General features: G+C 51.8%; 1 protein-coding gene across 6 annotated transcripts in view, besides 6 other annotated features; it reads right to left on the bottom strand.

Moving 5' to 3' along the window:
- The window catches only part of UMODL1 (uromodulin like 1), an 80120-nt gene continuing 57055 nt past the window's right edge, over positions 581-23645 (bottom strand). For all 6 annotated transcript variants that reach the window (NM_001199527.3, NM_001199528.4, NM_173568.4 and 3 more), the window contains 8 exons: positions 22353-22490; positions 20427-20746; positions 17087-17232; positions 16335-16571; positions 15746-15905; positions 13780-13864; positions 5936-6138; positions 581-1481 (listed from right to left, as the gene is read on the bottom strand). In NM_001199527.3, the coding sequence (NP_001186456.2) occupies positions 5957-6138; positions 13780-13864; positions 15746-15905; positions 16335-16571; positions 17087-17232; positions 20427-20746; positions 22353-22490 (1268 nt within the window). In that variant the 3' untranslated portion in view covers positions 581-1481; positions 5936-5956. The remainder of the gene's footprint in view (positions 1482-5935; positions 6139-13779; positions 13865-15745; positions 15906-16334; positions 16572-17086; positions 17233-20426; positions 20747-22352; positions 22491-23645) is intronic.
- Positions 17279-18050: an enhancer, noted in NCBI's record as "H3K4me1 hESC enhancer chr21:43545637-43546408 (GRCh37/hg19 assembly coordinates)". NCBI's record gives its function as "activates a minimal SCP1, AML or CMV promoter by ChIP-STARR-seq in naive H9 embryonic stem cells {active_cell/tissue: H9 hESC(naive)}" and the evidence as "EXISTENCE:reporter gene assay evidence [ECO:0000049][PMID:30033119]".
- Positions 18051-18824: an enhancer, noted in NCBI's record as "H3K4me1 hESC enhancer chr21:43544863-43545636 (GRCh37/hg19 assembly coordinates)". NCBI's record gives its function as "activates a minimal SCP1, AML or CMV promoter by ChIP-STARR-seq in naive H9 embryonic stem cells {active_cell/tissue: H9 hESC(naive)}" and the evidence as "EXISTENCE:reporter gene assay evidence [ECO:0000049][PMID:30033119]".
- Positions 20152-21088: an enhancer, noted in NCBI's record as "H3K4me1 hESC enhancer chr21:43542599-43543535 (GRCh37/hg19 assembly coordinates)". NCBI's record gives its function as "activates a minimal SCP1, AML or CMV promoter by ChIP-STARR-seq in primed H9 embryonic stem cells {active_cell/tissue: H9 hESC(primed)}" and the evidence as "EXISTENCE:reporter gene assay evidence [ECO:0000049][PMID:30033119]".
- Positions 21089-22026: an enhancer, noted in NCBI's record as "H3K4me1 hESC enhancer chr21:43541661-43542598 (GRCh37/hg19 assembly coordinates)". NCBI's record gives its function as "activates a minimal SCP1, AML or CMV promoter by ChIP-STARR-seq in naive and primed H9 embryonic stem cells {active_cell/tissue: H9 hESC(naive and primed)}" and the evidence as "EXISTENCE:reporter gene assay evidence [ECO:0000049][PMID:30033119]".
- Positions 22746-22875: an enhancer, noted in NCBI's record as "active region_18504". NCBI's record gives its function as "activates an Ori minimal core promoter by ATAC-STARR-seq in GM12878 lymphoblastoid cells {active_cell/tissue: GM12878}" and the evidence as "EXISTENCE:reporter gene assay evidence [ECO:0000049][PMID:35858748]".
- Positions 22863-23568: an enhancer, noted in NCBI's record as "NANOG-H3K27ac-H3K4me1 hESC enhancer chr21:43540119-43540824 (GRCh37/hg19 assembly coordinates)". NCBI's record gives its function as "activates a minimal SCP1, AML or CMV promoter by ChIP-STARR-seq in primed H9 embryonic stem cells {active_cell/tissue: H9 hESC(primed)}" and the evidence as "EXISTENCE:reporter gene assay evidence [ECO:0000049][PMID:30033119]".

Below are 23645 nucleotides of genomic sequence, written 5' to 3'. Positions count from 1 at the left end.
AAGAGCGAGACTTTGTCTCAAAAAAAAAAAAATTACTTGAAAACTGTAGATGAAGTTTGAAAGACAGGGTTTTTAAATATATGTCAATGACTTTATCTGAAATCCAAAGAGCCACACAGTCATGGGGCTCAACAGCTGGTTTTACTGAATATGTGTCATGCTCTTCCAAGAAAGGCAAGTGAAAGCTCCTCAGCTGACATCAGAACAGCGGGACATGACTTGGGAAGAACCAGAGATGCGTTTCTGGCCTCCCCAGCGTGCCCAACACAGCACCGGCCCTCGTTGGATGCTCAGCGAGCCTGTGATGGACCATCCCAAATGGAGCATCCAGCACAACCAGCCACATTTCAGTGTCTTATGCGATTGATTCTACTTGATCAGAATCTGTGATCCACACATATTACCCACTGTCATTCTTTACTGACTCTGAGAATATCCAGTAAATCAAAATACTCCTTTCCCCAAATGTTCTGTATGAATGACAATTAATTATATTCAACAAAATTAGTATCATGGGTTGAAAACTAAGGCCATGTTATAATTCTAAGTTCACTGAGGAAAAACACTCTACTTTCAGGTGTGAGCTATCTAATACAATTCCAGTTTATTTCAAATGAAGTACAGAGCATTATCTCTTAGGATGATGTAATGGAGAAAATTCTAGACTAAAATACTTAGATTTTAGAACCATTTTCTTGCTAATTCATTCTGTGACCTCAATTAAGTAACTCATCGGCTCCTCTGGTTTCTCATTGTGTAATGGGTAAATCACACCTCCCACTGTGGTCGGATTATATGAAGAAACGGCTGTGAAAATGCTTAGAAAAATGTAAAGAGTGATGTGTACCTACGTTATTTCTGCTTATTGAAAAGGTTGTCACATTAATCGAGTGCCTTTTGAGTCGCTGTCGTGTAAATAAAAGCAATACCTTGGTACACAGGAGAAAAGTCAAACAGCATAAACATCCACTAAAAATAACATTAGCAGTGTATTTCTAAGACTGACCTATTTTCGAAAGAGCATCAAGAGCGCGGTCGGGTCTCTCTGAGAATGTGAAATATTCTATATTTGCCAAAGGGTGACGGACGCCAAGGGAGGGCAAGCCCAGGAGGGTTCTGAGGGCTGGTGTGGAGGGTCACAGGCCTGGGAGGTCTAGGCTGCGGGGGCCGCGCGGGTGGTGGTGTAGCCGCAGCACCCCCAGGACTGCCCCCGTCTTCCGCAGCCCCTTCATCTGCCCCTGGGCTGTGGCTCCTCTAGGACCTACAGGACGGCCTGCCTCTTCGGGACAGACGGTGGCTGCTGTCTTCCTTTCTGGGCTCACCCGGGCTCTGGCAGAGCCCACCCGTCAGAGCAGACCTCCGTTAAGGCTTGAAGAGTTAAGAACCGAGGGATGGGTGGAGGTGCAGAGAGACACTGGGGATCCCGGGGGAGCCCACCAGGGAAGCTCTGAGGTTCTGGAGGCAGCTTGACTCACGGCGACCTGTGTGGAGGAAGAGGTCACCTGGGTCAGCTTGCACGCAGGAAAGGTAAAGTTAATACAGAAAACCCCAGGAGGAGGGGTAGTGGAGGAAACACCAACCCGAGGACATGGCGTCTATGTTTACTGGAGAGGGACAGATCAAGCCCCTAATGAAAAGGCAGCCACTCCCAGAGTGCCCAGTGGAACGGGGACCATGGGGCTGTGCCTGCCCTCAGGTGAGCGATGCTCCTGACACGCCAACTGGTGGGGGTGGCTGGTGAAGATACCTGAGCCAGACGAGCACAGCTGGGGCCCCTGCACCTTTGCACCATCCGTGGAGAACCCACCAGGACTCTGGGAACATCTCTGAGTGGGGCTGCCCAAGGGTCGACCTGGTGGGGGTGGGTGGGTTGGCTGATGGTTTTCAAAGAGCAGATGTCTGCAGGAACTTTAGAACTGGTGAGACAGTTCTCACTTCGAAAGACAGGAGCCCCGGGAGAACAAAGAAAGACAAGAGGCCAGTTTTCCCTCGGATGTTTTAATTTCGAGGAAGGGGACATCCAGCATGACCCAGCACCAATACACCAGATTTCCTTAGAAAGCTAGCGGGATAGTGTTGGCCTCATCGCTGGGATTCGCATCTTAAATATTAAGTAAAAGGCACTGACATTTCCTCGTAACTCTATCTAGGGAGGTGACTGGCCTCTAGCACTGGCCCTGTCTATGCTGTAAGGGTCCTGAGACCCCAGAATACTGCGTATGTTAGTTACCAGGAGTCCTGGCAGGAGAGACGGGAAAGACAAAGCTAACACAAGCATCCCCCTCACATGGGCAGAATCACATCCACAGGCGGGTGGTGTTTTCTCTGAAGTTGCCCAGCAAGGGCAGCATGGAGGTTGCCTTTTGGAAACGTGTGCTGTAGTCTGGGCTTTGCTGGTGACCTGGGAGGATTGGCTTGAGTTCTCTGGGCCCCATTTCCTCATTTTAAGATTGGAGCCAGTGTCTACTATACTTTGCTGAGTTGTTTCAAAAATCTGTTATCTCAAGAAAATAAGGACCTGAGCACAGGGAAGACGGGCTTGGCTGGGGAAGCTGCCTGCCTGACGAAGAGGGGGCGGGCTGGTATTGACAATGTCTCCTGCCCAGGATGGGAGGCAATGGGGTTGGTGAGGAGGGGGTCTTCATGGCCCAAACCCCATGGGCCCCAAACCAGAGGCCAAAAGCTACCAAACTGAGGAAGCTTCCTTATTTTTCACTATTAGAGTGTAAAGTTGAACTGAAACTTCGCTGTTGTTCCCTGCCCCTTTGGGATCCCCGGAGGTGGCTGAGGACCCAGACCACAATTGAGCAGCAGCACCTGCCTCCCGGGGAGGCTCAGGGGTCCTGGGAAGGCTCCTTCCCTGTAACCACAACAGTTGCTGCCTCTCAACTGGGACACCTGGTGTCCCCACTGCAAGAATTAAGAATTGTGGATCCCCTTGCACAGCTGCTAAAATACAAATTCTCCGGGTCTCTGATGAAGGGGAAAGGCAAGGGGCATTGTTCTAAGGGTCCATCAGTCATGTGAACACTAGTGTAAGAAAGGCTCTAAGCTTGGTAGCTAAGAGAGCTGACCCCAGAGCCAAACGGAAATCCCATGCAGCCCCAGCTCGGCCACCTCCCAGCCATGTGACCTGGGAGGCCTATCCCTTCCTGCCCTGGACCTCCCAACCACGTGACCTGGGACACATCCCTTCCTGCCCTGGACCTCCTAGCCACGTGACCTGGGACACCTATCCCTTCTTGCCCTGGACCTCCTAGCCACGTGACCTGGGACGTCTATCCCTTTCTGCCCTGGATTCCCATCTATAACACAGGATGCTAATAACAGCACAACCTCACGGGGATGTTGGGAAACAACAGACATTGTCAACATCAGCCCACCCCCTCTTCGTCGGGCAGGCAGCTTCTCCAGCCCAGCCCATCTTTCCTGTGCTCAGGTCCTTATTTTCTTGAGATAACAGATTTTTGAAACAACTCAGCAAAGTGTAGTAGACACTGGCTCCAATCTTAAAATGAGGAAATGGGGCCCAGAGAACTCAAGCCAATCCTCCCAGGTCACCAGCAAAGCCCAGACTACAGCACACGTTTCCAAAAGGCAACCTCCATGCTGCCCTTGCTGGGCAACTTCAAAGAAAACGCCACCCGCTTGTGGAAGTGATTCTGCCCATGTGAGGGGGACGCTTGTGTTAGCTTTGTCTTTCCCGTCTCTCCTGCCAGGACTCCTGGTAACTAACATGCGCAGTATTCTGGGGTCTCAGGACCCTTACAGCATAGACGGGACCAGTGCTAGAGACCAGTCACCTCCCTAGATAGAGTTACGAGGAAATGTCAGTGCCTTTTACTTAATATTTAAGATGCGAATCCCAGCGATGAGGCCAACACTATCCCACTAGCTTTCTAAGGACATCTGGTGGGTCGGTGCTGGGTCATGCTGGATGTCCCCCTCCTTGAAATTAAAACATCGAGGGAAAATTGGCCTCTCGTCTTTCCTTGTTCTCCTGTTGGCTGAGAGGGTGGGCAGTTGATATGGTGTGGGTCTGTGTCCCCACCCAAATTTCATGTTCAATGTGATCCCCATATTAAAGGTGGGGCCTGGTGGGAGGTGGTTGGATCATGGGGCGGATCCTTCATAAATGATTTAGCACCATCCTCTTGGTGCTGTCTCACGATAGAGCTCTCATAAGATCTGGTTGATTAAACATCTGTAGCACCTGCCCCAACCCCTTCCTCCTGCTCCAGCCATGGAAGACGTGCCTGCTTCCCCTTGGTCTTCTGCCATGATTGTAAGTTTCCTGAGGCCTCCCCAGAAGCCGAAGCCGCATGCTTCCCTTACAGCATTTGGAGTCAGCAGTCTCACACGCTGCCAGATAAGCCTCATGATTGCTTCTCTTCTTCTTTTATTAGTATTTATTTATTTTTGAGGCAGGGTTCCCCTCTGGAGTGTAGTGGGGCAGTCTCGGCTCACTGCAACCTCCACCTCTCGAGCTCAAGGGATCCTTCCACCTCAGCCTCCCAAGTAGCTGGGACCACAGGTGTGTGCCACCACACCCGGCTTATTTTTGTATTTTTTGTAGAGATGGAGTCTTTCTATCTTGCCCAGGCTGGTCTGGAACTCCTAAGCTTAAGCGATCCTCCTGCCTTGGCCTCCAAAAGTGCTAGGATTACAGGCATGTTCTTTTTTTAGAAAAATCTCAAAATTTGGCCGGGCACGGTGGCTCACGCCTGTAATCCCAGCACTTTGAGAGGCCGAGACGGGTGGATCACCTGAGGTCAGGAGTTGGAGACCAGCCTGACCAACATGGAGAAACCCTGTATCTACTAAAAATACAAAACTAGCTGGGTGTGGTGGCGCATGCCTGTAATCCCAGCTACTCAGGAGGCTGAGACAGGAGAATCGCTTTAACCTGGGAGGTGGAGGTTGTGGTGAGCCAAGATCGCACCACTGCACTCCAACCTGGGCAACAAGAGCAAAACTCCATCTCAAAAAAAAAAAAAATCTGAAAATCTTTACAAAAGTCCCAGTCTTGGTGTTTCCCACTGAAGGTTTATACTAACCATACTGCCCTCCATAATGCTTGTCATTCATTTGTGGTGAACTATGTGCAGGCCCAGGAAAAACAAAAGTCCACAGGGCAGATCAGAGAAGCATCTTCAGCCTCAAAAGGTCATACATAAGTCGGGGCTGCGGGCATGAGCAGCAAGGTGTGGGGGGTCCACTGTGGCATCCACACCACACGTGACAATCCCTACGAGCACCAGGTTTCAGGGACACTCGGCCGAGGACCATCGTTAGGATCCACCAGCAATTGAGGGCGTCAGACCCCATAGCGGGGCCTCTTGGGCATCTTCCCATTTAAATCTCACACCCTCCACGTGGCCGGAAATGTTACCATGGTTTCTTTTACAAATGATGAAACCGAGGCACCAAGAGGCTCAGGACCTTGCCCGGGTGGTCAAGAGAGTGGGTGGCAGAGATGGGATTTGTGGTGGGCCCCTGGGTCCTGTGGTCACCCATATAGCACTGCCGCTGGTATCGTGGAGCCAGTCCAGTGGGTGTGTGAAGCGATCGAACCTTCACCAACCTACCTGTAGTTTCCCCTCTCTGCCTGCTCCTGGTTGCTTTTTCAGAAGGGAGGCTGCACGCTCCGTAAAGGGCCACAAAACACAGACACACACATATCTACCCTTGGCTGAATCCTGCTGGCCGTCCCCATCACCATGGATGGCAAGGCAGGACATGCACATCAGATGCCCCCACTCCGCACCCACCTTCTTATCAGCCTGCACCTCCTACCCCACTCCACACCCACCTTCCTGTCAGCCTACACCTCCCACCCCACTCCGCACCCACCCTCCTGTCAGCCTGCACCTCCCACCCCACTCCACACCCACCTTCCTGTCAGCCTGCACCTCCCACCCCACTCCGCACCCACCTTCCTGTCAGCCTGCGCCTCCTATTCGTAGAACACCTGGTAGCTGAAGTTGTTGGACTGGATTTTAAAGTTGTATCTCCCATTCATTCTCTGGTAGCGCACGATCAGAAGGGTGGCTGTTCCCGCCACCAGCACGAAGATGGCCACCACAATAAGGACCACATAACCGGCACCCAGGCCTGCTTCTGCATGAGGAGGCTCACCTCGGGGAGGAGACAGGCACAGGTGAGAGATCTGCACAAACGGGAGGAATGCGATAGAGCAAGCCCTCCACCCGGATCCGGGGCTGATGGATCTGAAGCACGGGGAATGCAAGGCCCACGTGTGCACCCGTGTGCCTGTGGGTTACCAAAGCTGAGGAAGGTGTCCAAGCCCAGGACAGCATTGCAGTAAGGACAGCGCAGCCTGGGGAGGCCTGGGCCTTGAGGGTGGGGCTGCGCGGGACCAGCAGGTCCTCCTGGTGGGAGGGGGAGAGCCCAGTCAGATTCCCTGCATGGACACACGGGTTGGGCCTACACAGGCTCCACAACACAGAGGAATGAGCCATCCCCAGACCCAGAGGAGCAATTAAAAAATAGAGAGTGCAGGCTGGGCGCAGTGGCTGACGACTGTAATCTCAGCACTTTGCGGGGCTGAGGCGGGCGGGTCACAAGGTCAAGAGATTGAGACCATCCTGGCCCACATGGTGAAACCCCGTCTCTACTAAAAATACAAAAATTAGCCGGGCATGGTGGCGCATGTCTGTAGTCCCAGCTACTCGGGAGGCTGAGGCAGGAGAATCACTTGAACACAGGAGGCGGAGGTTACAGTGAGCTGAGATCGTGCCACTGTACTCCAGACTGGTTACAGAGCAAGACTCGGTCTCAAAAAAGAAAGAAAAAACAAAACAAAACAAAACAAAAAAACAAGAAACAAAAAAAAAGAAAAACAGAGTGCGGACCCTAAAAGATGTGAAAACTGATTCAAACAGCTATTTGTACACCCCTGTTCACAGCACCAGCCAAAGGGTGGCAACAACTGAAGTGTCCACCAACAGGTGAATGAATCCATACATTGTGGCCCCACCGTGCAATGGAACATGACCCAACCGTGAAAGGAGTAAAGCGCTGACCCACTGCAACGTAAATGAACCTTGAAGATGTCACGCTGAGTGAAAGCACTGAGTGAAGGAAGCCAGGCCCAAGAGGCACCAATAACATGACCCTGTTCATAGGAACTACCCGGAACTGAACAGAAAGCAAACGAGTGACTTTCAGAGACAGGGGGAAGGTGGATGGGGAGGGACTCATGCGTATGAAGTTGCATTTAGGGTGAGGAAAATGTTTTGAAACTACATGGAGTTGGTGGCTATAAAACACTCTCAATGTACTAAACACCACTGAGTCGTTTACTCTAACACAGTTAGCTTGAGGTTACGTGAATTTCATCTCAGTTTAATTTTTTAAAAACTGTGCTGCCTGAGAAAGATGCCAGCTGCCTGCTGGCTCTCTGGCTGGCCCCTATGAGCCCAGGGGGAGATGTGACCCTCTGCCCACCGTGTGTGGGTATAATTCGTTGTCAAGGGCGTCTATAGCCAGGTCACAGCCACATCCTGCACCACCCAGTCCCCTCCATCTCAGGGTGTTCATCCCCACATATCAGGAAGGTCTGCATTGGAAACAGCCTTTCTGTGCAACCAGGAGCATCTGAGATCCCATTTTCATTCCCTGTATTGATTTCCGGGCAGTCTGCCCAGAGTGGACGCTGCTGTGTGTCCCCCAGGGAACAGCATGGAGCGTCACCATCAGCAAAGCCATCCAACAATGGCACTGTCGGATCCCTGGGGTGCTGAACATAAGCCAGCTAGAACCACACCATCCCTCCTCCAGAGAGAGGGACAGGGAACACCTCCCACCCTCCAGCCAAAGTGACTCCACCCTCCCCAAGAAACCGAGGCCCCCAGATCCCGGCCGGCCACTTCCCCAGACAACTCCTAAATCACGATGGACACTAAATCCAGCCCCCAGGGGCTCTGTAGTGGACCTTCCTCCTGGGCCTCGAGTGACGGGCCACCTTGCCAGCACAAGGGGGGGTGCCGCCCTGAGGATGCAGAGTAGAAAGACCAAGGAGACCCGCTCCTGCTGGCCCTTTGCAGCCCGGAATGGCCCTGGACTCTCAGCCCTGGGAAAGACCCATCCCTGTTCAGTTGCCACCTCTCCAGCTAGGTTTCTGTGACCTGCAGCTGTGTGCTCCGAACTGAACCACTAGCTCAGGGCTGGCCACAGGGGGTCCACAGGCCAGTGCTGCCCACTGACTGACACCAAAGTCCAGGAATGGTTACTCCCCATGGCCAGATTAGCTAGAAGTGGAGAGCAAGCCCTGAAAACTGTGGATGGTAATTTCCCACAGCCACTGGTGAGGCATCCTGCCAAACAGGGCATCTATCTCCCTGTTCAGGGAGGCTCCATGCGTGTGGCATGAGCTGTGTATGCATCGTGACCGTTGGACCACATGTCAGTCCACGATGCGGGGGAAATTTAAATGACGGCTGAAATTCAGCAATGGCTGCTTTTGTAAAGGGGGATATAACCCAGTGAGGGAAAGGGAAGAAGGCATGTGAGGCTTAAAACCTAGATGATGGGTTGATGGGTGCAGCAAACCACCGTGGCACATGTACACCTATGTAACAACCTGCACGTTCTGCACATGTATCCCAGAACTTAAAGTAAAATAAAAAATTGCCAGGCAAGGTGGCTCACGCCTATAATCCCAGAACCTTGGGAGGCTGAGGCGGGCGGATCACAAGGTCAGGAGATCAAGACCATCCTGGCCAACATGGTAAAACCCCCGTCTCTACTAAAAAAATATAAAAAAAAAAAAAATAGCCAGACTTGGTAGTGCGCGCCTGTAGTCCCAGCTACTCAGGAGGCTGAGGCAGGAGAATCACTTGAACCCAGGAGGCAGAAGCTGCAGTGAGCCGAGATCGCACCACTGCACTCCAGCCTGGGCAACAGAGCGAGACTCTGTCTCAAAAATAAATAAATTAATTAACTAATTTTAAAAATTAAAAAATTAAAAAAGAACCCGCGTTCAGAGGAAACAGGGCCCTTCCAGGGGTTTGAGTTCCAGCTCAGCCACCGCCTCAGTCTCCTCACTGCTGAGCAGCTACAGTAATTGCTCCAGGCCCTTCCTGCTGGGACATTGAGCACTCCCTGGACACTATCCTCGAAATTTCTTGGCCTTTTAGCACAGGGACATGCTCATGAATGTGAAATAAGTGGGCCAGCTAGGAAAAGAAAGGCCATGGAGGAGTTCCGAAAACTGAATATGCAAAAATTATCATGCTGATGTACTATTTGTTGGTGGCAGACATTCAGGGAAGATGCCCGAATGGATTCTTTCTTAAATTGTCAATATACAGGGTTACCTATGTGTTGAACTGTGAACCCCTCACCCCCTGCAAAAACAGATATGTTGACACTTTGGGAGGCTGAGGTGGGTAGATCATGAGGTCAGGAGATCGAGACCATCCTGGCCAACATGGTGAAACTCCATCTCTACTGAAAATACAAAAATTAGCTTGGCGTGGTGGCCCACAACACCTGCAGCCCCAGCTACTCTAGAGGCCGAGACAGGAGAATCGCTTGAACCTAGGAGGCAGATGTTGCAGTGAGCCGAGATCATGCCACTGCACTCCAGCCTGGCAATAGAGTGAGACTCTGTCTCAAACAAAACAAAACGAAACAAAACAAAACAAAACAAAACAAAACAAAAAACAGATATATTGAAATCCTAACCCTTAGTACTGTGGGGCATGGCCTTATTTGGAAATGGAACTGTTGCAGGTGCAACTAGTTAAGCAGGTAGATAGGCCCCTAGTCCAACATGACTGGTGTCCTTATAAAAAGAAGGCCATGTGCAGACGGGGGCAGAGACTGGAGGGAGGCAGCTGCAAGCCAAGGTCCACCAAAGATTGGGCACATCCAGCAGAAACGAGGAAGCGGCAAGGGAGGACTTGGCCCTACAATGTTGCGAGAGACTGTGGCTTTGCCAGCACCTTGATTTTGGACTTCTGGCCTCCAGAACTGAGAGAGAACAGATTTCTGTTGTTCAAGCCACCCAGGCTGTGGGACTTTGTTGTGGTGGTGCCAAGACATCGTGAGTGTGATGTGAGGGCTGGGGTGGAGGGAAGCCTCAAAATGAAGCCAGCTCAGTCCCCAGGAGACAGAGAGAGGAGAGTGGGTTATGAGCAGCCTGGATCTGCACTCGCAGGCCCAGCTCGTGCAGGTACCAGCTGTGTGAGCTTAGGCACATTCCCTAAAATCTCTGAGTTGTTCTCATTTCTTCCCTGAAACGGAGGTGATGGTGATGGCAGGGACAGAGCGTGGGATCTCAGAGGCCGCGGATAGCGGTGAGGTCCTGAGGAACCTGTCTGCCAGCCTCCTCTCATCTCTGCAGTCTCCAACAGTGTTTCTGTTAATATACACTATTAAAATGCAGCCAAGTCCCCACCAACTGGGAGATTCCATGTGTCTAAATGATTTTGCTGTGTATTTGTATGATAGTCATAGATCAAACAAAAGCTACTAACACAATGAGAAAGAATGTTGAACAACATGAATATTTACAGTCCTTGTTCTTGAACGTGAGAAATTACACCCTTATTACATTCCGTGCTTCCTGCTTTGGTTATGCCAGTGTAGTGCTCTACTGGTTACAAGTGAAAAGTAGCACTTATTCAATAACTTCTATGGGCCAGGCTCTTTATGAAGTAGGAATTATTATTATTCCCTTTTCAAAGATGAGGAAAATAAGGCACAATTCATATGCAGCATGCACAAAGCCACAAAATTATTAAGTGCCAGAGCCAAGTTGTGAATCCAGGGAGCCTAGTTTCAACCTCACAAATCTTAGCCTCACAAAGAATTCTTAGTTACCATTAGACACTCACAACAACCTTATGAGGTAGGGAGGGCATGTTGCAAAGAAAAATCAGAGTATCTGAAACATAGTAGATGAATGAATTAATGAATAAATGGGTGGATGGATAGATGGATGGATGGGTGGGTGGATGGATTAATGAACAGATGGATGGATGATGGAGGATGGATGGATGAATAGATGGATGGATGGATGAATGAAGGGATGACAGAAGGATGAATGATAGATGGACGAATGGATGATGATAGATGGATGATGGTGGATAGATGGATGATAGTTGAATGGATGGATGGATGACAGATGAATGTATGGTTGGATGAGTGGATGGATGGATGATGGATGGTTGATAGATGGATGAAGGAATGGGTGGATGGATGGATGAACAATGGATACATGGATGGATGGATGATAGATGAGTGCATGGATGGATGGATGATAGATGAATAGATGAATGAATGGGTGGATAGATGGATGACCAATGGATAGATGGATGGATGGATGATAGATGAGTGGAGGGATGAATGGATGGATGGATGATAGATGGATAGATGAATGAATGGGTAGATGGATGGATGGACGGAAAAATGATAGATGGAAAGATGAGATAGATGTATGGGTGGATGATGGATGAACCATACAGCTCATAAGTGTCAGAGCCTATAATCAAATTCAGGTGTCCCAAGTCCAAGTCTAGTGCTTTTCACCCCCTAGTCATGACATTCCCTATGATATCAATGAATGAAGGAGGAAGTTTAATTTCTATTCATGAAAGAACACATTATCTATTAATGAGAACATATTTCACACATATGCTATTTCTTATAGGGTGAAAGAAATAGGCTGACCCGTTCTTCCCAGGAAATTAAGAAAATGAAGAGTGAGGAGAAGCAGGTTGTCCCAGCACCTTGACCAACAGTCACCTGATGACCAGCTCAGGGGCCTGGGACCCAACTCTAGAGATTCTGTGTGTAGGCCTGGGGTGTGGCCTGGGACCTGTGTCTACTTTTTTAGTTTCCCAAATGCTTTAAATGAGAACCAGCAGTTGAGTCACTGGCCAAGACCTCCCTCCTGTTCCCCAGCTTCATGGCCAAGACCTCCCTCCTCCTGTTCCCCAGCTTCATGGCCGAGACCTCCCTCCTCCTGCTCCCCAGCTTCATGGCCGAGACCTCCCTCCTCCTGTTCCCCAGCTTCATGGCCGAGACCTCCCTCCTCCTGTTCCCCAGCTTCATGGCTGAGACCTCCCTCCTCCTGTTCCCCAGCTTCATGGCTGAGACCTCCCTCCTCCTGTTCCCCAGCTTCATGGCCGAGACCTCCCTCCTCCTGTTCCCCAGCTTCATGGCCGAGACCTCCCTCCTCCTGTTCCCCAGCTTCATGGCCAAGACCTGAGCAGCATTCAGATTCTGGCTCACACCCTGCATCCAAACCCCAGAAGTTCTCATACAGGGAAAGACAGAGAAGGGAGAGGGTCATCAAGATTAGGGAAAAAAACAACAAAAAAAGGAAAACCAACTAGGATTAGGCTCAGCAGCAAGCAAGAGAAAAAAATCAAAATAGCAGTGGCTTAAAGGACATGGAAGTTTCTTTCCTTCTGTCATAAAAGTGGGAGTCAGTCCGGGAGCAGTGGCTCATGCCTGTAATCCTAGCACTTTGGGAGGCCGAGGTGGGCAAATCATGAGGTCAGGAGATCGAGACCATCCTGGCTAACACAGTGAAACTCCGTCTCTACTAAAGATACAAAAAATTAGCCGGGCGTGGCGGTGGGTGCCCATAGTCCCTGTTACTCGGGACTGAGTAGGAAGCAGGAGAATGGTGTGAACCCAGGAGGCAGAGCTTGCAGTGAGCTGAGATCGCACCACTGCACTCCAGCCTGGGCGACAGAGAAAAACTCCGTCTCAAAAAAAAAAAAAAAAAAGTGGAGGTCAGAACCCAGGCCTGCCTTGGCCACTTGCCCATGGTGTCCTGGGAAGCCAGATCCCTCCAAGGACTGGGCCCCACAGCCCTAAAGAAGAAAGAGGCAGAGGGTAGGCACAGACGTCTTTTAAGGAGGGTGCACCTCTAAAAGTTGTCACATGACTTTTCCACTTACGTGTCATTGGTCAGAACTTACATGGCCACACTTAGCTGCCAGGAGGTTGGAATTACAGTTTTTATTCCTGGCAGCCATGTACCAGCAAAACCTGGGGACGCTATTTCTATGAAAGGGGAGGAGAACAGATACTACGGGACAACTAGCGGTTTCTCTCTTAATACCCAAAGCACACAATTTTCCCCAAACCAATGTATTTTTTTTTCAAAATAAGATGATGGACCATATAGAAAATAAAATGTTTTTCTGGAAAGTTGATGTGGGGTTTTGAAAATACATGCAATGTAATTGGCTAATGGAAGTTTTAAACTGAGGGGGAACAGATATGCCATTTTTTGCATCTTTTGAATAAAATAGCTTTTCCTTGTGCATGCACATTCGTGTGCACGCACACACACACACACACACACACACGTTGACATGGCCTGATTATAGCTTGAGTTCTTATCTCTTAACAGCCCACTGGATGTATTTACCCAGTGTCAGAAAACTTCACCAGCTTGATATTATGCAGCTCAAAACATTTCATTATGTAACTTTGTGCCTGGCCTCTTGAAGCCTCAGTCTTTTCATCTGTAGCATGGGTATGGTAATAGCTCATGCTCCATAGGGTTGCTGAGAGGAGCATATTACATTCTGCATGTAAAGAACTTAGTGCCAGGCTGACACGTAGCAGCTCTCAGTGAATACTAACTATGAGTATTTCTGTTATGATAAGCCTCTTAGAAGTCTCTCAAGAGTTCTGCATTTCACAACAGTTACTTTTTTATTTACATGCTGGTGAAAAGGAATCGGTTGCATCTTTTCTTTCATTGTCTAAACCAAGTCATCAACTCACCTTCAGACCGGATGAGGGGTCCCCAGGACATCTGGTGTGTGGCAGAGGTTTCACTATTTTGCAGCAACCGAAAGTTATTGCAATTCTGTTTTTTTTTTTCCAAGAAGAGAAACGTCAAATTAATTGAACAACATTTATGAGAAAGGAGCTACTATCAAGGATGCTAATGTGATGTATGCGATTTTATCCTGCTAGAAGTTGCAAGGCAAGGGGGCTGAGTTTAGACAGAGGAGTGGGAGACCTGGTGAGACCAGGGTGGTGGGTCCTGGTGCAACAAGAGGCAGGCCCAGGCGTCAGCGGGGAAGGAAGTGAGGTCTGCAAGAGCAGCAGGCTGGAGAAGACCCCTTGAGCTGCTTTTGGTTGCTAGAGCTGCTTCCTTGGGTCCCTTGAGGACTGTGTCTTGGTCACAGCCCTCAGAGTCCCTCTGTGTTCTCCAAAGGTTGCTGCAGCCATTTGTTCCCCTTTACACCTTTGCCTTACAAAAAAGACTGCCTGGCTCAGTGACATGGTGGGATCTGCTCACTAGATGCCTGAGATGGGCTGCAACATGTCCTCCAAAAAGGGATTGAAGTCCTAAATCCCAGCACCTGTGCATGTGACCTTACTTGGAAACAGATCATCAAGCTGAGGTCATCAGGGTGGGCCCTAATCCACTATGGCTGGTGTCCCTCTGTAAAGGGGAAATTTGGACACAAACATAGATGTGTACTGAGGGAAGGCAACACCGAGAGACAGGGCAAATGCCGTCTACCAGCCAAGGAACGCCCGAGGCCACCAGAAGCTGGGAGAGAGGCCTGGGACAGATCCTTCCTTTAGAACTCTCAGAGGGAACCAGCCGGCTGACACCTCCATCTTGGACTTCCTGCCTCCAGAACAGAGACAATAAGTTTCCACTGTTTAAGCCGCTCAGTTTGTGGTACGTTCCTACAGCAGCCCGGAAAGCTCATACACTATCTATCCATCCTAAAGGAGCTTGAAAAACACACTGTGTGCCGCTCCTCTTGTAAAGAATTCTCTTGTAGAGAACTTGAGAGCCAGCCGCTCCCTGCAGAGACGAAGCCTGGCGGTGGCTGTCCGTGCTCCTGTCATCTCTGAGGCTCCAGTGGAACCAGGGGCAGGCTCCTCGTGTGTGGCCCTCAGCCTGCTGTCATTAGGACCTGAGGTTCCTTCTGTCCCATTGCTCAGGAAGATCTAGTGTTTGAGCAAAACAGACATGAACAGAATCAGCCTTCCTTGTGTTGCTTCTCTATCCACGTCCTGCAGACGCTCAGAGCTTGGTCACCCAGGAAAACAGCTCAGATGAGAGCAGGAACAAGCACTACCTCCGAGGAGAGAGAAGCATTCGGTCACTGAGCAAAAAGCAGCGGAGCTCCCTAAGCTGTCCCCTGCCTCAGACAACAGGCGACCAACATGTGGGAACCTCATGTACTTGTCTGTGATATAAAGCACAGTTTTCAAACCTCAGGATTACAAAGCATATTTCAAATTCAAAAATCTAAGGAAAACAGGAATGTAAAATTATCCCTGCATGATTGTTGAACAAAGGAAAGGGGAAAAAACTTTATTAAATAACAGAGTGTCTGATATTTAGTATGTTCCATCAATGTTGTTAAAAATAATATTTAAAAAATATTTTTACACCTATAAATCACCTTAGAAGCACTAGGTATCATGGCAAGGCAGTGCTGACGCGACAGCCGGTTGAATATTATGGCCTCAAGAAGGAACTCAGCTCAGCCATTGAGAAATGGGAAATGCCCACCAGTCCACATGAGTCCTCCGTCCAAGGGCTGCCTGCCGTGGAAATACCATTTCAGACGCGGAGTCTGCAGGACAGGCACAGCGACTCCTCCCAGAGGTTGGCCCCGAGCCACTCGAGCCCTAGGTTTTTATTAACAGAGCCTCGAACCGTAACAATAAGGAACGTGAATCCAACCAAACGTTTAGAAAACCAAAAAACACTTACGATTTTGCACGTGGCTCCGGGGGATTCCATGCAGACGCGGAGTTTGCAGTGCAGGTAGACGATGGAGTCGTTGATAAAGGAAAAGATCCTCAGCTTGAACTGGGCCTTATTGGAGTTGCCGTTCTCAATCACGTTGGTGTATGTGTTGGGCACAGGGCAGCTGAGAAGAGAGGAAATGGGACTCCTTGCTTGTCAGCGAGCCCCGCTGTCCTTGTTCTCAGATGAGTTTACTCACGACTACATCTGACGACACTCGCAGATTCCACAGGCTCCGTGGAAGTCGAGGACCGGGCACCTCATTTGTTCCCCAAAACCCAGGTCCATGACAGCACTCGCCTGGAAATCCTGCAGAGCCCAGAGCTGGCCACACAGCAAGGCCAGGCAATGGCAGTGCCTGCTTGAGCCCTACCTGTTCTTAATGAAGCCCTGGGCATTGCTGGACAGGGGTGCCTGCACTCCTGAGCCCTACCTATTGTTAATGAAGCCCTGGGCATTGCTGGATGGGGATGTCTGCATTCTTGAGCCCTACCTATTGTTAATAAAGCCCCAGGCATTGCTGGATGGGGGTGCCTGCACTCCTGAGCCCTACCTGTTGTTAATGAAGCTGAAGGTGATGGGGTCCCGGGCGTTGCTAGACGGGGTTGCCCAGCACTCCGTCAGGACCACCTTGAGGTTGCTTTTCTGCCTGTAGAGCCCCACTTCGATCCTGACATCGTCACTGGCAGACACGCTATAATTCTGAGGTATGGGAGAGTCTCCGATAAACAACTGCATTTCGGTAACAAAATTCCCAGCGCCGTGGAGGTCCTCGATGATGGTGTAAACCCTGCAAGAGGAAGCAGCTTGCAGGAGGCATGTTTCAGGAGGCGCATTATCGTGGCCCCTCCCATTCCCACTTCTCCCCTAAAACACAGCTCCAGAGGAACGTGCAAATGAACGAGAAGACCCCCTCAACCCCAAACGAGAGCACTTGGAGGCCATTTATTCAGGGCTGGCTGGTCCAGGGGTTGCCTCCCTCAGTTGTATAGGTGGAGACTCAGTGGAAGGTGGGGGGTCCATTATAGAAAAAGTGGTGCCTGATGGAGGCTTGGGTGGCGGCCTGCCAGTGGCTCACTGGAAGTGGGGCCATCCCATGGGATTGGCCACGGGACATATTTGGCCTTCTCTGGCTAGCCCTGAGTGGGAAGAGGGAACAAAATTTGGGGAGCAGCCAGGCCACACCCATTTGTATATTCCATCTCAAGGAAGGGTCCTTAAGTGGTTGACACCCTAAAGAACTCTCAAAGCGCAGGTGGTCTGGAGGCACGTGGCTGTGGGGCAGCCGGGGCATTTCTCCCTTACCCCCACTCCAGGGTGAAGCCGGAGGATGTCAGCAGGTCATTCTGGAAGGCGCAGTAGATGGGGCTCAGGATCTTCAGGTGGTGGATGATGCCCTCCTGGGACAGGTCGTTCCTCAGCGTGGTCCTCACCACGGTGTTCGTCATGTTCTGAGCACAAAGCGGAGCATGAGGAGCTCCCAGGCCCCAGCCGGCCCCCCACGCCCTGCTGTGGGCCACGGCTCTAGGTGCTGGGGGGATGGGGGTTCTTCTCTAAAGCCTCTCCCCAGCAGCATCGAGATCCTGGCGATTCTCCCAACCATAAACTGCCTAAGAGCCTAAGGGCTCGGCCTCTGCTCATTCCCTATTGACCAGAGGAGGCAGCACCTGAACCTGTGGGGATTCCGTGGCAGCTGCACAAATAAGTCTTTCTGGGAAACTTAGTTTTTGACAAGTGTCAAAAACCGTCAAGAGCTCTTGTGGATTTCAGGGACTGGGTGAGTCATCAGAGACAAATTCCCTTTTCTTTCAACATGCCCCAAACCCTGCTGCATTTAATAATCAAGCCAAGCATTGGTCTGGTTCAGAAAAACACAGAGGGAGCTGCCGGCTGCAGGCTCTGCCCAGGGCCCCAGTCCTGGGAGGCGCTGTCTCTCCACTGGAGCTGCCGCTGTGTGGGTGGCGATCTGAGCACCAGGCAGGCTGTCCTGCACCCTCAGCCCCTCCACTTGGCCCCGCAGCCCTGCAAGAGCCCTGCATAGGCTTGAGGATGCCGCTGTGGCCCGGCCCACATGCACCTCTCACCCCAGACCTCCCTCACCAGGGAAACTGCCGAGAAGCCACAGGAGCCACTGATCACCGCCCATCCCCCTTGCAGACACCCCCCTGCTGCCAACGCTCGGCCTCCAGGTGGCCGTCTAAGAAGCTTTGAGGGAGAAAACTAATTCTGGGCAGTTCTGCTTAAGTTGTGCCATTTGAGGGGCTGAAGGGTGAGGAAGGTTTTGTAGCTGTTGAAACAGTGCAGGTTACTCCTTCAGCCCAGGGAGGATCTGAAGAGCCCCCGAGGGGGCGGAATGAGCTCGGCAGAGTGAGCTGTGCCTCCCAGGCAAGCTTGTGCTCTGCAATGGCCTCCGACGCGTCCACGTGAATCCCTCAGCTTCCTGGCCACCCTCAGTCCCAGCTCCAGGCTCCAAGCAGGCTCCACACCATGGAATCACCTTATGCCCCACCTCCCCACCTCATCCCTCAGCCCCTGGGGCTTTCTGGCCTCTGCTCCCCAGGGCTAGCTCCTTACTCAGCCCCAAGGTCCATGTCCCAGCCTCCTGCTCAGGACGTCCACCCGGTTCCCACTTTGTCGGCTCCCAGACATTGACACCCCATGCCAGGACTCTGGGTTTCATCTGACAGCTTTGACCCATCCAGTGCCAGAGGCCGCCCTGTCCCCACTAAGGAGTGTGTCCAGACCCCCAACCAGAAGCAGCACCCCCTCAAGGCTCCTCAAGAGGCAGAGCCACAGGGACGGGGCTGCTTCTCGGTGTCAGGTTGACTTTGACCCTGAACTCCCATGGACCCTGCCGAGCACCCAGGGCTCAGCCGCAGAGCGTGGATGATGATGCCTGACCCATGCGGTCGCTAAGGGACTAAACATCATCATGCATGTAGAACTCTCAGCCAAGCAGGTCCACGGTGGTTTCAGGGCACCACCCCAACCAATCCCTTTTTTTAGAATGCAATGCCTTGGACTGCTCAAAGGTCCTGAGGGACAGAAGCCCAGGGCCCAGAGTTCCCGCCAACGACCAGGAACCACCATTCCTGCCTAGCTCCCGATGAGGACAATGTCCCCATTAGGAGAGCCTTCTGGCCCTGGCTCCTAGGCCAGGCACTGCTCCCTGCTCAGCCCCATCCACAGCCCCACTTTCCCACCAGGCCTCATACCCCACCCTGCCCATGAGTGTCCACCCTTCCATCCCTGCCCACCTGACCAGAACCACTCGGACAGACTCTTAACTCCGCCATGGTTTCCAGCCTCCCTCATCTAGCCACCCCCGGCATGGCCCTTGGATACATTCACAGCTCTCTCACTCACCCTTGGAACGACGCTGGCCTCCTTTCTAGGTCGAGCCCCTTCCCAGAAGGCCACTTCCCCAACCCAGAGCCGGCACGGGCTCCCTCTGAAGCCGCCGGCCCCTCCAGGCAGCTTCCCTGATCCACCCTGCACTCCCAGGCCCATGCGGCCCAGGCCCCTGTGTCCAGTACCAGGCTGAGCTGGTGGAAGGTGCTGGCTCTCCCCTCCTCTTGTCCCCCAAGCAGGGCCCTGAACACGAAGCCTTTGTGCTCCATGTGGCCAAGTGGGGTTGGAGACGAACAAGGGCCTGCATGGGAGCGTTCGCTGTGACACAGAGGCACCCTGGGAAGAAGCAGGACCTGGAGCCAGGTCAGCTACCTCATGGGTGCCACACACTAGAGGCTCAGAGTAGACCCAGGACGCACTGGCCCAGAGTCACCTGCAAGGGGAGGTGCCAGAGCCCATCTGTGCACACAGAGGTGCGAAGGCCTCAGGCCAGGAAAACCCACTTTCCCCACCTGGGCTCCCTCTGTCCCGGGAGCCCCACAGCCCATCCAGGACCCTGAAATAGAGAATGTTCGCTAGGAACACAGTCCCTCCGACAGAGCAGTTCTGACTAATGCCATCCAATGCCCCCCAAACACACACCCATACATACACACTCACACATGGACAAACGCATCCACACATGCTCAACTCACGCACACATGCACACATGCACATAGACACATTCTCACATTCACACACTCACACATTCATACATGCATGCACACCCACACGCACACAAGCACGCGATACACATGCACACACACACGCACGTACATATAAGCACAGCCATGCATATACACATACACATTCGCACACACAGATTCACACATTTACACACATTCACACACATGCACACCCCCACATACACAGACATATTCAGACACATGCACACATGCACACACGTACACTCACACACACACACTCTCATATCACACAGGACTCCTTGGCTTTCCTGCCTCTTCCTGTCCCACTGCCTCTCATCCTGTCTGTGCAGGGAGGAGTTTTAAGCCGTGACTCTGAAGCCTGCCCCAGCACTCTGCACCAGAGTCCCTCCTGGGTGGACTCACAGCTCCCTTCCGATTCTGGGGTGCAGGCTGGTCCCTGGTTGAGAACTCAACCCTGTCCTGAACCCCCCTTGCTGGGTTCCCCTCGGGGTGCAGAGTCTTGCCTGGCCCTCCCACATCGAGGCCCATGTAACCTAGAGCCCCTTGCGCCCTAGTGTACATCCTGAGCCTGGCTCTCCTGGTCTTACGCTCTGCATGAGGGTCCCACACTCGCTCCAGCCGGCCTCCAGGAGCACGTGTGTGCCATTGCTGTGGCTCACGTTGCAGGAGGGGTGGCTGAGGTACAACGAGGACTCGGGGATGGATTCCTGCTGCAGGAAGCGCTTCTGGATGGCGACAACCACCTTCTCGATCTCACAGAGCACCCTGACTGCTCCGGTCAGGTTCAGCCGCTGGGGCAGGCCTTGGGGGGTGGGGCTGGTGCCTTGCACAAAGGCAGCCTTGGTCCCTGCTGTGGTGAGAGGCCTCTCTGGGCTGGTGGCCCAGGTTTCATTGCCAGGAGAGTCACCTGCAAGGCACAAGGAGGAAAAGGCAAAGAGTGGCTCTGTGTTTGGGGTTGGCATGGAGGGGCAGGGGTAAGGAGCAGACTGGAGCTGCCCTGCACTCTGCAGCAGCCACACCTGGGAACCGCATGTTCCAGCCACAACTACACACGTGCACACACACACACACACACGCACACATATGCACACACACGTACACACACGTGCATGCACACACATGCACGCAGAGATGCACACACATGCACACACATGCACACACGCACGCACACACGTGCAGACACACACACACGCACACATGCACATGTTGCACATTTCCACCAGCTCAGGGATCCAGGCTCACCATGGGCCCCCGAGGGCCAAGGACCGAGGGACCTGATGCCGGGGATGTGCCAAGCCAGTGGATACAGGGTGAGTCTTCTGCCCTGAGAGCCCTGAGTCTATTCTCTAAGATGGGGTAATGATGCCTCCTCTTGAGGTCCTTGTGCCCAAACTTCCCACTCCAGCTCCCTTCTTGCCCCCAGAGCAGGTTCAGTTTCAATGCCTAGGAGAACAAGGGGCCCGGAAAGCTTTCCAATCCACCCACCTGTTCTCGGGGTGGTCTATATGGAAGCAGACCCCAGACACAGCTCCGCACGTGCCCTCCACCCTCCTTCAGCAGTGGCTCCATCATCTGTGGGCCTGGTTTGTGCCTTCTTTTATCTCAGAGTGGGGCTTGCCCAGCCCCAGCACCCTGCAGCTCCACCCAGCTCACTCCTGTCTCTGGGCCATAGTCCAAACCATTGCTGAGGACTTCACAGTTGGCTGCTGCCTCACCCGCCTCCCTGGGCAGCCTGCTTCTCGCTCTCTGCCACCCATCTCCTGCAGGTCCCTGCATGTGAGATCACGCCCATCACCAGCTCTGTTCTCACCACGGCACCCACCCACCATGCCCTGCCCTCCCTGCTGGGTGCCATCTTAGCTATCCATTAAGACCAGCTTCAAGACACCACTTCCAGGAAGCCCTCCCTGGCCACACTCACTGGACTGAAGCAACTTAGCCTCCTCTGTGCTTCCTGATTCTACCTCAAGCAGGACACGTTCTATAGCCCCCCGGATACCACACTCACTGGTATAAATGCCCACCTCCCTTCACTTGACGCAGATTCCTGGATAGCAGTGGCCAACGTGGGGTCAGTGTTAAATCCACTAAGACCCCGTTTAGCAGGAAAAGAGCTGGGTGGAAAGAGTGGCCAAGAGGAAACATTCCCCTGTGTCGCGTGTCCCACGGCTGCGTGTTTCACAAGACGGTCGCTCAGCATCTGCACGTTCACACCTCATGTATGTGTATATTTTCTCTCCATGGATATCAGAGCTAGCACTTGGAGAGATAAGGCACTGCCCAGAAGCCTGGACACATATGAAAGAATGGGAAGGAACATGCACACACGTACACACATGTACACATACATCACACACACACACACACACGTGCACCCACATCACACACAGGAAACTTCCCCAGGACATAAAAATATGACCTCAGAGGGACAAGAAGCCCTTTGCACGTGAATGTCCTTAAAAAAAACCGATTATGATACAGTATTCCAGAAGAAGAAACTCTGACGACATTACCTTCACAGGGTCTCTCAGAATATTCCACAGGGAAGTCGGGGGCTCCTCCCTCGCAGCTACAAGTGAAAGACCCGAGGGTGTTTCGACAGGATGTCCCCGGCACACAGTCGTCCTCCTTCCTTTCACACTCATCGTAATCTGCACAACATTTAGAAGACAAAACAGAAGAACATCCCTGGGGGCTTGTGGTCTCACAGCAGCCTGGTTGGGGGAGAGTGCATCTCACAGACAAAGCTGGAAACTCCAGCCACAGCAGACTGCAGTCAAGCTCACCAGTTCTGGAAAGTACAGGAGGCTTCCTGAAGCTGGGGCTGGGAATGGCTAAGTATGTCTGCAGGGGCTGTTCTGGAAGGAGGATTCTGGCCCAGGGCTGGGAGGGGGATCTGGGCAGAGCAGGGCCATCCCTTCAGTTCCCGGGAGTAACCAGGAGATGCACAGGCCCCCAGATCCACCTCGGTCCAGCCCAAGGGACCCAGGCTGCAAGCCCAACCCTGGGCAGAAGGCCCTCAGGCCATTTGCCTTTCGCCATGATGCTGGGTTGATTGTTGACAGCAAAACAGGTTTACTGCAGAACATGGATAAGAACCAGAAAAGCGTGGCCAGGGGCAAGTTAGCATGTGGACGTATTTCCTTCCAGCCTTTTAAAATGCAGGCATGCTCTGAGAGCATAGCTTGCCTCTGCCACCAACTAGCTCCATGCAAATCCACAAACCGCTATTCTCATCATTGCATAACAGCCCGGGGCGGGGACACCTGGTAACTTAGCACCTTCTTTGTTACTGGATGATTGGTGATTTCCAACTCTTTGGCTTTTAAAGTAACACTGAAGATGAACATCTTTGTATTTAAACTACGGTCCAAACAGATCAAATTCCTTAGGACAAAGTCGTAGAGCTGATATTTCAGAATCCAAGTGGATGGCCACTTTGAAAGCGTTTGATTTATGTCACCAAACTGGTTTCCAGGAAGCATGAGCAAATCCTTCTGCCACCAGCAATCTGTGCAAACACCTGCCTCACTACACTTTCACCAGTATTCATGTCAGCAGTAAAGAGACCTTTTGTTTGCAATTTGATGGGCAAACAGTGCAATGCATTCTAATGGGGATGTCTTGGGTTACCACATCTTTGTTAGTCATTCATATTTCTTCTTTTATACCTTGTCTGTGTAGAGCTTTCGTGCATTTATCCATCAGGTTCTTAATATTTATCTATTTGTATGATCTCTCTATATATTTGGGATACTAACACTTCACCAAATTATTGAAAAATTTTTTGTTTACTTTGCGTTAAA

Source organism: Homo sapiens, chromosome 21 (assembly GCF_000001405.40).
Source record: "Homo sapiens chromosome 21, GRCh38.p14 Primary Assembly".
NCBI classification, from domain to species: Eukaryota; Metazoa; Chordata; class Mammalia; order Primates; family Hominidae; genus Homo; species Homo sapiens.
Note: the sequence above shows the minus strand (reverse complement) of the source record. Positions and strands in the feature narration are given on the sequence as shown.